The sequence below is a fragment of the Homo sapiens genome, chromosome 9 (assembly GCF_000001405.40).
Source record: "Homo sapiens chromosome 9, GRCh38.p14 Primary Assembly".
NCBI classification, from domain to species: domain Eukaryota; kingdom Metazoa; phylum Chordata; class Mammalia; order Primates; family Hominidae; genus Homo; species Homo sapiens.
In genome coordinates this window covers 13,015,366-13,028,164 of record NC_000009.12, presented here as the reverse complement: position 1 = coordinate 13,028,164, position 12,799 = coordinate 13,015,366, and the positions used below count along the sequence as shown (strand labels likewise).

At 36.2% G+C, this 12,799-nt stretch overlaps 1 pseudogene; it reads left to right on the top strand.

The window, feature by feature from the left end:
• Nucleotides 1-6,689, top strand: part of LOC100130801 (lupus La protein-like) — a 28,279-nt pseudogene extending 21,590 nt beyond the window's left edge.
• The last annotated feature ends 6,110 nt before the right edge of the window (nt 6,690-12,799 follow it).

Genomic DNA, 12,799 nt, shown 5'->3' with positions numbered 1-12,799 from the left:
ATGGAAAGCCTGGATGTTTTAGTGATTTATAACTTCCGTGTATTTTAACACACTATCTAATTTTTTCCCCTGGTAGAATTTTATTTCATTTGGAACATTCATGTGCTGACGTAATATGCCACATGTGAAACTTTTCTAATGATAAAATCCAGTATATGTGCTGCATGTCAAGTCACGTAGCTGGAGGGGTGTGATTTGAAGCTGACTTGGCTCCACCTGAGAGCCTGGATCCTCTGGAACATACTCAGGGTGCTAGCTTCAACCTGTCTCAGACATTTCTATCTGGGCCTAGCCTGGGACCTTAAGATTAAGGCAACACATTTATCTGCATGTCAATAAATTAGCCCTCCCACAGGAGGGTTCTGCAGGCTCTCTTGCTTTGAGATGCTCTGTATAAAAAAGGGTTGGATTATCAAGTACATGTGAGGAATTGCAGAACTCCAAATGCCCATTCTAGAATTCACAAGGCGTGTAAGCATAACACAGCTTTGAGAATTCCTGGAGAGCCACAGAATTTGGGTCTGTTCTGTTCCCTTGGTTTTACTGACCTCATCTCCTTCATCTCTTCGCCATTGCTCCGGTCACACTGACTTTCTTGGGATCCTCAGACATAGGAGGCTCTCTCTTCGGACATGTTCTTTTCTCAGCTTGAAGCACTCCCCCTTCCGTCCTGGATAGAGACATAGGTCCCTCTCCCACCTCCTGAAGTCTTTTCTCAAGTGTCATCTTCTCAGGGAGACGTTCCCTGATTACCTTACATAAACTTGCAAACGACCCCCTCCCTGCTCTCCCTGTTGACATTTGCAGTTTTATTTTTCTCAAACACAATTATCACCATTGCTGCAAAAATGCTGCATTCACACAGAACCTCAAATCCCATGGTGTGCAACAGTAAACGTTTATTTAGCTCCAAGTGTGCAGTGCTTGTCTGATCTGTCCTGTGTCTGTGGCCAACTGTGGGTCTCTAGGCAGCTCCACTGATGTGGGCTAGGCTCGTTTCCAGGTCTGTGGCTCCCCTGGCTGCTGGCTAATCTAGGTGGGGCCCAGTGAGGTGGGAGTCTTGCCTCTGTGGCATGTGCCTCTCAACCATCAGCAAACTAGCAAGGTGCCCCATTGGCTAAAGCAGGTGGCATGGCCAAATGCAGAATCAGAATTCAGGCATGGTGACATGACACAGCCAAGGTGGGGATACAGAAAGAAGCGAACAATTTGGTCAATTTCTACAAACTACAGTTCATATAATAATTTTTACTTTTTTAACAAATTAGTTTGTTTCCCTCTACCAGAATGTAAGCTCCATGAGGACAGAAGTTTTATTAACTTTGTTAATCACTATATCATCTTCCCCAGAACAGTAGTATCCAGTGTGTACTAAGTATCCAATAAATATTTATTGAGTGAATACATTAATACATAAAAATAATCCTATTTAACTTTAACATAGGATTATTTTTTAGTTTTTGTGATTTGAATTTCCCTCTCTCTCTCTCTCTCTGTCTCTGTCTCTGTCTCTCTCTAGGGGTCGCACTTTGTTGCCCAGGCTGGTCTTGAACTCCTGAGCTCAAGTGATCCTCCTGCCTCAGCCTCCTCAAGTTCTGGGATTACAGGTGTGAGCCACCATACCTGGCCTGAATCTCTTTTAAAAATAATTTTAATTTTAGATTCATGGGTATATGTGCAGATTTGTTACAAGGTATAGTATATTGCCAGATGCTGATCTTTGAGCTTTTACTGATCCTGTCACCCAGATAGTGAACATAGTAACCAATAGGGAGATTTTCAGTCCTTGCCCTTCTCCCTCCCCACTCTAGCAGTCCGCAGTGTCTATCATTCCCATCTTTGTGTGTACTCAGGAATTAGCTCCCATTGTAAGTGAGAACATACTATATTTGATTTTCTGTTTCTATGTTAATTTACCTAGGACAATGGCCTCTAGCTGCATCCAAGTTGCTGCAAAGGATATGATTTCATCCTTTTTTATGGCTGTGTAGTATTCCATGGGGGTATATGTACCACATTTTCTTTATCCAATCCACCATTGATGGGTGCCTAGGTTGATTTCATGTCTTTGCTATTGTGAATAGTGCTCCAATGAACATATGAGTGCAGGTGTCTTTTTGGTAGAACAATTTATTTTCCTTTGGGTTTATATGTAGTAATAGAATTGCTGGGTCAAATGGTAGTTCAAATTTTTTTTTTTGAGAAATCTCCAAACTGCTTTCCACAGGGACTGAAATAATTTTACATTCTCACCAACAGTGAGAATTTTGGAATAATTCTCTAACTCTGTGAAAAATGATGTTGGCAATTTGATAGGAATAGAATTGAGTCTCTAGATTGCTTTGGACAGATGGACATTTTAGCAATATTGATTCTTCCAATTCATTAGTGAGGAATGCTTTTGCATTTGTTTATGTCATCTATGATTTCTTTCAGCAGTAACACAGTATTTTCAAGTGTGTTTTTCAATTCATCTCCTTTTTAGAGGAAAGCCAATAGAATATCACTTTAAACCAGAGAATATTCAGGTATCCCTTGCCTTTCTCACTGAAAATGTAACCTCCAGGAATTAAAGAAAAATCTATCAGAATTTATTTTTGCCTCATTTCATTCATCTAAGATTTGGTAAATGACTTTTATGTATCAGGTTATGTACCAGTGCTAGTAAAAATGGAAAACAAGCATACAGCATGCTTCTGAGAAATCTCAGTTAAGTCCATAAAGCAAAACTCTGAACAATAGAATATGCTTTGTTATAACGTTATTAAAACAGTTCCCATGAACACAAAAGAAGTGTTCAAACATGCCATTAACCTAATAATAGAACATTTCTGTTCACACAATTTAGTATCTCCAACCAACCACAGTTTCACCCTTATCTTCTGTTCTTCCCAAATTCTATCCATCCTTCAAGTCCGACCAGAAATGGAACAATCTCTGACCAAGTTTGCTTATTGACCTTTTCCCTAAACTAATTTGAACCCAGCATTTATTCTATGTATTATATTAACGTATAATTCCTGGAAACACCTATTTCACTGTTTTTTATAGGCTGTTTAACTTTCCTAATGTTTACCTTTTCACATGTGGATGTCATCTTTTCAAAGAGCTTTTCAAAAAGCCATTTTGGCAGGGTGCGATGGCTCACGCCTGTAATCCCAGCACTTTGGGAAGCTGAGGCAGGCAGATCACCTGAGGTCAGAAGTTCGAAACCAGCATGACCAACATGGTGAAACCCCATCTCTACTAGAAATACAAAAATTAGCTGGGGGCGGTGGTGTGTGCCCAGCTACTCAGGAGGCTGAGGCAGGAGAATCGCTTGAACCTGGGAGGCAGAGGTTGCAGTGAGCCCCGATCGCACCACTGCACTCCAGCCTGGGTGACACAACGAGACTCTATCTCAAAACAACAACAACAACCCAGCCACCTTTGGAACACATATTTTGTCTCTTTCTAGAATTGCAAAGAATAATGCTTGCCTAATTGGTACTCAGATAATTAATCAGATGCATGTAATGAAATTGGAAACATTTAATCTCCATTGATCACCCAGTATGATCAGATCTGATAATGCACATGTCTACCTATTGGCTGGAGGTATAGAAATATTTCTACTTAGGACTGGTGTTTATCTACAAACCTTAACTATATTGGAAACCAGCGACTACTTTGTATAAAGCTACAAATGCAACTCAATATTTTTAACAGGTTAAACAAAAACTGACAAATTTTCAGATGGTTTGGAAATAAATAACAGAAAATTTTAAACTGCCAAACTCTAAATGTACCGAAAATAAACAGATTTCTCAATTGGCAAAGAAGATGTTGAAAAACAGAATAAAGAAAAAGCTAAGACATGTTACCTGCTGTTCTGTGGCTCCAGGGCAGAGCAGTGGAGCATTCATTATCTTCAATTAGTTTTGCAATTTTTGCACACCTGTGTATCCTACTCATCAACCCCATTAAATTGTCTTTTAGGAGTAAATTTTGCTTAACATGACACTCAATGTGTGGGAAACCCCCCAAGTAACAAGACTAACAAGTCAGTTTATTTAACTCAAGAAGAATTGGAATCCTACATTTGACTTGGATGTCTTCAAAAAAGGCCAAAAGATGCTCATCAAATATTCCAAATATATACTGATAAAAACAATGCTACAAGTCATAAATGTGATGATAAGAAAAGGACAATTGTTTGTTTACTCACAGTCATAGCAATCAAATCATAATAGTCCATTTAGGCCCTATTAAATAAAGACTGTGTCTCAGTCAATAATTCAAAGACAGGTATTAGGATAGTGCCATTCCCAACTCCTTTTTCTCTGGTTCTATATTATCTAAGTAACTTCTTACACTCATTCATGACTCTGTTCTTTATGGAGGGGACGCTTTGTTCAGCTGACTAACTGATTGCTTTATGAACTTGCTTCCAATTTTAAATGAATATTTGGTTAGCGGTCTTACTGGCATTTGAGTGGCATGAGTCATGTGTGTTTAAGCCTTATTCTCCTGAAATGAGATGACTGTGGAGATATTACACCTGCATAATTGAGAAAACTTCCACTGGACTTAGAGTGATCTTACAAAGATACCCATCATAGGCAAGACCTGAAATAATTTCTTTACCTCAAGAACTGGTATCAGCTACAAACATAAGCAAATATACACATATGCTAGAGCAAATATCATTTAAAAAGAAAAAGGTGCTATTTTTGCCAAATTCTATTAAACTTGAATCTCATTCATTTTCATATTTCCTCCCTTCTTTTGCCTTTTATGCAGATATTATAAAGGAAAATACTAAATATTTGATTACATTAAAATCTTTCCATTTTAAGAGATTATAAGTAAAACAAAAGTAAGCATTAGGAAGACATTTTCAACATAAAGAAATTATATGGATGACTAAGAAAAAGAGATCATTCTTTCCTCCCTTCCCCAACCTTGACCTGGCCTTCCTAGGGTAAAAGACAGGTTCATAAAATCAGAAATGCAAATTTTATTTTACTTTATTAAAATATTTTTTCAAGTTTCATTGAGGTACAATTCATCAACAAAAATTGTATGCATTGAAGGTGTATAACATGATTATTTGACATATGTATGCATTGCAAAATGATGACTACAATCAAGTTAACTGACATACTGTTACCTCACATAGTTACCATTTTTTGTGTGTGTGGTAAGAACACTTAAGAGCTACTGGGGGAAGTCAAGATGTTACTGTTGTTGTTTGTGAGCTTGTGGCTTGACTCTGCAGGACTGGGATCTTAAAGAATGCCACAGTGGCTGAAAATGCTGGTCTGAAGGCCAAAATCTGTCATCAAATTGAGTATTAATTTGGAGACTTCAATTTGCTGTGGGACAAATTTTTAAAGGAACAGGTTAAACTAAATGAACGGTGGGTACCTTTGGAGATATTGATAAAATTCAACAGGTTAAACCATCTCACAACAGACTTTAATGTAATTGTGGAAGCACTGAGGACATCCAAGGCAGAACTCATGGAAATCAGTGAAGATAAAACTAAAACCAGAATGTCTCCAAGTAAACCCCTCCTTGAAGTGACCGATGGGTATAAAAATGATGTAAAAAACATCTATTTGTATCAAAGGCTTCCCAACTGATGCAACTGTTGATGACATAAAAGAATGATTAGAAGATAGAGGTCAAGTACAAAATGTACCGATGAGAAGAACATTGCATAAAGCAGTTAAAGGATCAGTGTTTGCTGTGTTTGATAACATTAAATCTGCCAAAAAGTTTGTAGAGACCCCTGGCCAGAAGTACAAAGACACAGCCTACTAATACTTTTCAAAGAATATTACTTTGCTGAAAAAAGTGAAGAAAGCAGACAAAATAATATGGAGGATAAATTAAGAGCTAAAGAAGAGCAAGAAGAAAAATAAAAGCTACATGATGCTGAAATGAAATCTCTAGAAAAAAAAGACTGGATGCTTGCTGAAATTTTTGGGTGACTTAGATGATCAGACCTGTAGAGAAGGTTCACACATCCTTTTCTCAAGTCACGGTGAACTAAAATGGATAGACGTTGTCAGAGGTGCAAAAGAGGGAATAATTCGATTTAAAGAAAAAGTCGAGGAAGCATTGGGTAAAGCCAAAGATGCAAATAATGGTAATCTACAATTAACAAAGAAGTGACTTGAGAAGTACTAGAAGGACAGGTGGAAAAAGAAGCATTGAAAAAATCATGAAAGACCAACACGAACCCCTAAACAAATGGAAGTCAAAAGGTCGCAGATTTAAAAGGAAAGGTTAATAAAGCTGCCTCGCCTGAGTTTGTTAAAGGAAAAGTACAGCTTCAGGGTAAGAAAATGAAATTTGTTAGTGATGATGAACATGATGAAAATGGTGCAACTGGACCAGTGAAAAAGAACAAGAGAAGAAACAGACAAAGAAGAATCTGCATCAAAACAACAGAAAACAGAAAATGATGCTAGAGACCAATAGCTTAGTAAACAAGTTTTAAATCCATTTTAATTAGTTTTTAAGCTGCTTTTGGTTTGGGGGGCTTTTAAAATGAAAACCAAATTGGATCTACTTCAGTGTCCACCTGTGAGAAAGGAAAAGCTTTTTGTTGTTTAACTTGTCTTTTTTTGTTATCCAAATGAGGATTCTTTTGAATGTATAGTTCTGTTTGTGTTATTTCAGATGATTCAAATATCAAAGGAAGATGCATCCACTAAATTGCATTTGTAATATGAGAATATATTTGTACAAACCTAATAAAATATATACCATATAAAAAGAAAAAAGTCTATTCTCTTAGAAAATTTCAAATATACAATGCAATATTATTAACTGTTGTCCCCATGCTATCTGTTAGATCCCCAAGACCTATCAATCCTGTAATTGCAAGTTTGTACCTTTTGACTAACATCTCATTTCCACTGCCCACCCCCCCCCCCCCACCAGCCTCTGGTAACTACCCTTCTACTCTCTGCTACAGTGAGTTTGACTTTTAAAAATTCCACATGTAAGTGACATCATGCGGTAGTTTTCTTTCTGTGTCTGGCTTATTTCACTTAGTATAATCCATATTGTTGGAAATGGCAGCATTTTCTTGTTTTTTTATGGCTGAATAATATTCCATTGTGTATGTGTGTGTGTGTGTGTGTGTGTGTGTACTATATTTTATATGCATCCATCTATTGATGGACATGCAGGCTGTTTTCATATCTTGGCTACTGTTATTAATGCTGCAATGAACATGGGGGTGCTGAGTGACCAGGACAGCTGTCATCCATTGAAAGCTAACTAACTACTCTAAAATTAACTTTTGTACTTTATGGGAGCAAAAGAATGTCCTGGGAAAATTTGAGAGGAATTAAACAAAAAGGATGGAAGCATTTTAAGAAAGAAGCTTATGAGTCTCTTGGGAAAACAATATTTTAAAAAGTCCAAACTGTAAAATAGCAGACAAAAACATACATAAAATGTTAAGAGGAAATGCCATAAACATTTTTTAATTAATTACTGGTTCCATATCTGTCAGATTAACGCCCTTCCGTCACCCTGCCGTATACCGCTTTGAAAATGAGGACAGGGATGAGGGAAGCAGCAGACATAAATCAGAGATATTTTCTTCAAGGTTTAGGAGAAAATGTTTTCTCTAAAGCCAAACACCTATAATCTCTGCTTTGATTACAAATAAAAAAGCAATTTTTCAAAAAGTCACTTTGCTGATAAACCCACTCTTTATTTCTTTTTAAAACACATGATTAAAAATCCCTCTTAAATGACAGTCTACAAGGAATGTTGAAATGTCTTGGAATATCTAAATGCTTCCAGCTGCTTCCTTAAGTTTAAAATATTTTCTTAAAGGGGATTTCCAGCCTGTTGGCAGCAACAAGATAGAACTTCTCTGTTTTTTTCCTTTGTTTCTGTTTCAATTTTTGGATTTCACGATTTGCTTAAGAGAGACAATAAAATACATTCATTTAGAAATTTATATTACTTCTTAATTGCTTACTAAAAGTATACTTTACATTAGTTTGAAGTTGTTCAAGTTAGTGGAGAATGATACATTAAGATAACAGCATTGCTGAAAAACTTTATGACATTGGTTGTGGCAATGATTATTGGACATGACACTAAAAGCACTGACAACGAAGGCAAAAATAAGCAAGTGGGACCACATCAAGCTAAAACTTCACAGCAAAGGAAACAATCAGGAGGTGATAAGGCAACCTATGGAAAGGGAGACTAGATTTGCAAACCATAGATATAATGAAAGATTAATATCCAAGCTATATAAGGAATTCCTACAACTTAATAGCAAAAACCCTAATAACTCAATTTAAAAATGAGCAAATTACTTGAATAGACATTTTTCCAGAGGAGGCATACAAATGGCCAGGTATATGAAAAAGCACTCAACATCACTAATGATCGGGAAAATGCAAATCAAACCGCAGTGAGAAGTTACCTCACATCTGTTTCTATGCCCATTTTATGTATTTATAAGTATGTATATATAAAGATAAATGTTGGTAAAAATGTGGAGAAGTTGGAACCATTGTGCATTGTTGGTAGGAGTGTAAAGTAGTGCAGCTGCTATGGATAACAATATGGAGGTTCCTCAAAAATTTAAAAATAGAACTACCATACGATCCAGAAATTTCACTTCTGGGTATTTAACCAAAAAAATGAGATCAGAACATTGAAGAGATATTTGAACTCCCATGTTCATTGCAGCATTATTAGCAATAGCCAAGATATGAAATAACCTAAGCATTTATTGACAGACGAATGGATAAAGAAAATGTGACATGAGCACACAGTGGAATATTTTTCAGTCTCAAAAAGGAAGGAAATCTTGCAATATGCAACAACATGGATAAACCTGGAGAACACTATGCTAAGTGAACTAAACCAGTCACAGAAGGACAAATGCTGCGTGATTCCACTTATATGAGATATCTAAAATGAACAAACTTGTAGAAGGAGAGAGAATAGTATATGCCAGGGACTAGTGAGTGTGGGAAAAGGGGAGTTGCCACTCAATGGAGTTAGAGTTTCCAATATGCAAGATGAGTAAGTTCTAGAGAGTCTCTCTACATCATTGTGTCTACAGTTAACAATACTGTATTGTATGCTTAAAAGTGAGTTAAAAGGGCAGATTTCATGTTAAATGTTCTCAGTACAATAAAAAATGACAAATGTTACAGTTTAGTTTACAAATGTATAAAATCTTCTTTAGGATATAATATTGGTGAAATAATTTAGTTTGCAATTACAATTATCTACATACTATGCAAATCTCTCAGAGAATATTACTTGACAAGTCTTACAAAATACAGTTTGTTTTGATGCTACATATGAAATTCTTACATCTTACCTTTTACCAAAAATGTAAAAAAGTCTGATAGAACGTATCTGAAAATTCTAAAAAAAGACACAACTTTTCTCTGCTGAAGTTTAGAAAATTAGAACTAGAAGGAATGTATAGTATTTTGCCAAAAGATGTCATATATAGAGTTAGAGATTAAAGTAGGGTAAGAAACAATCGGGTATCTTGCTCTGAGCTCATAAGAGTATACAAGTTTTAAACTTGTTGCCCATCAAAGGAAGATTTCTGGAGGTAAAGCATAGAAAGCAAAGAGATAGTGTGACTCAGTAAATTTCCTTTAATCCAGGTCCTAAAACTCTGATTAGCAAACATGAAGACTAAAGTTAATATTACATACCAAAGATTAAGAAAGTATTTCTCCTATGCCTCCCCCATAGTAGAGGTACCAGTTGTATCTCCTCTGCCATATATTCTCTCTTAATAGAGAATCAGCAAAATCTTGGGCTCTTTCTTTTGACAGAAGCTGCCTTATGTGAGCAATCCACACTGGACATAGAGTGGGCCAGTTAGATTGTCTCACTCACAAATTCCAGAATAAAGCCATGGAAAGAATGAATCAATAATCTGTGGAGAATTGAAGTGGAAAATTCTTAATTCTCCAAGATTAAGGATGCCATTTTAGATTGGTTTTGATGGTGAGCAAGGAAGTCAGTCCACGGAAGAAGAAATAACCCGGGAAAAGTAGAGATAAGAGATGTCGCAACTGGACAGACAGAAAATTACTGCCCTCAAGATATTATTTTTCAAATCAACAAAGGTTTACTGGGTACTTTAGGACTGTGCTCCAAGCTGGGCAAGAGTTGGGATATGTGGTAGGCTGATAATAGATCCCAAAGATCGGTCCATGTTCTAATTCCTGGAACCTGTACATACAATCTTATTTGGAAAAAAGCTCTTTGTAGATTTGATGAAGATTTTGAGATGAAGAGATTATCCAGGTAAACCCTAAATGCCATCACAAGTGTCCTCATAAAAGAGAGGCAGAGGGAAATTAGACACACTCAGAAAAGGAGGAAGCAATGTGACCATAGAGGCAGAGACTGGAGTGATGTGCCTTCAAGTCAAGGAAGCTGACAGCCACCAGAAGCCACAGGGACAGATTCTCTCCTAGAGACTCCAGAGAAGGTCTGACGCTGATGACACTGATTTTGGCTCAATGATTTCAGACTTCTGGACTTGAAGAGAATAAATTAGAACTTGGAGAGATTAAATTTCTGTTGGTTTAAGCCACTAACTTTGTGGTAATCTGTTACTACAAAGCTATGGGAAGCTAATGTAGAGTTTTTGGCAGCATTAAATAAAAGATATGTTCTGTTCTCAAGGAGTTTAGAATCAATGAGGTTAGAAAAACAGCACTCAATTAACCTAAAAAAGTAATTCTTTATTAGAGGGGTAAGTTGACAAAGAGCTATGACAAAAGAACAAACATGCAATTACTTCTAGTGAATTCTAAGACATTATGATATAGATGGCATTAATACTGGGCCCTGAAGCCAAATACAGTTCATTTGAACTAAGATTATTTTAAAATTTCAGTGACAAAACCCATAAGTGCATGATCAGTACATTATAACTTCTCTCCTACTCAAATGAAACTAGTGTATAGTGTATGTATAAAAAACAGAGATCAAAATTGAAAGGAAATATCCTTTGTAAGATGCTAGGCAGGTCTATGAGTAATGATCACTATGTCCAGTGATAAAAGTATGGCTGTCTATCAAACCTTCACATTAAAAAATTCTCAAAATGTATAGAACAGATTAAAAAATCACATTTCTTTCCAATTTGATTTAAATTTTAGTTTCCTTTCCCCCTAAAGTTGTGAAAATGCACATTTGACATTATTAAACCTGAAACTGATTTTTCCTACCCTATCTAACTTTTGGATTATTTCAATATTTTTTATGGCTATTTAAGTTTTCTTTACAGGAAAGGAGAACGGGCTATATATTTACTGAAAAATAAAATCAAATATGAATGACCACATTTGTGGAGGAGGAATCAAATTCAGATTAATAATAAGTTAAGAAGCATTACTTTCTAATCTTCAGGCTGAGGGACTCCTGTTTTGTTGAAATGCTGGGACAGAAAATTCTGTAATGGCGAATTCACAAAGAGTTATGAGCACGGAGTGCTGCCTTCCTGCCACCTTCCAGGGCTGCTTTCTGGTCATATCTGTCAGCTAAATTCCTAGTATATTAAGCTGATCCTTTTCAGAAAGGATTTAACAAGTAATATGCTTAGCTTAAATAGTGCCAACATAGCATTGCACACGGAAATTCCCAGCAATTCTGAGACAAATTTGGGTTGGGTAAGATAAAAAGATATAAGTCAAAATTCCTCAGAAACTATTACCAAGAAAAAACACCACTGCTCCAAAACAAAAAGAAAACAAAGCACATTAGCTCTGGTAGACACTATGATGCTTACCAATATCCAGTTCTCTTTTCTTCTGGGGCTTAGGGGAAACTACCCCTCCTAGCACCCTTGCAGTTGTGTGTGGCCTTTGACTAGTTTTTGTGCATGAAATGTGAACAGAAACATCTCTGTGAGATTTTCCAGTATTCTCACTCTTCCACTAAAAGGTGTTCTGAAACTACATTTTCCATAGTGAAGCTTCCATCAGTTGGAGATTGTGTGGAGTAGGGCAAAATACAATGTATTGGACACTCAGAGTTAACAATAAATGTAACTTCATTGTATTAAGACCCTTAGATATCACAGTTAAATTGTTACTGCAATATAACCTAGGTTATTCTAAGGAACATACCAGTTAACCAAAAGAAACAGACACAAAAATTATATGTAAAACAAACCAGAAAGAAATTCGTTTGAGTTTAGTGTGACTGCATATTTTTTCTGTTTTAGGTTTGAACATATATACACACTACTTTTATGAATGAAAAAATTATACTCTAAAAAGAGATTATCTATAAAATCCTCCTGAGTTTAAAGGGAAAACAACCACTTTTTATTCTTAGATATTTGCATTCCCTCTTCCAGTCATAATCCTGGATGTTTACAAATAGAATAAACTCTAAAGGTAAGCTGGTTTTTATCCATCATAAAATTTTAGATTTCCTATTGGTGGCTTCCTCCATGTAGTTCCTTACTTTATTCCTTCTTTCCTTCAATCTTATGTTATTTCCCAGCACGTTGACACTCAGATTATTTCGTTAGTTCTGCAATAATGTTTTATATGATGAATAGAGGGAATTGTTTGAAACTAGTTATTGAAGCTTGTCTTGATCTTATTCTAAGTCATGGAAAATCCCTCTGAGTTCTCTGCTAAGGGGCCTGGCATCACGTGAAGCTTTGCTACTTGCCTGGAAACAGCAATTTCACCTTTGAGTAAGAATAATCAGCAGTTTATGAATGTTTGTACATCTCTGTGTACGTGTGTGGGTGTGCCTGTGTGTGTTTGTA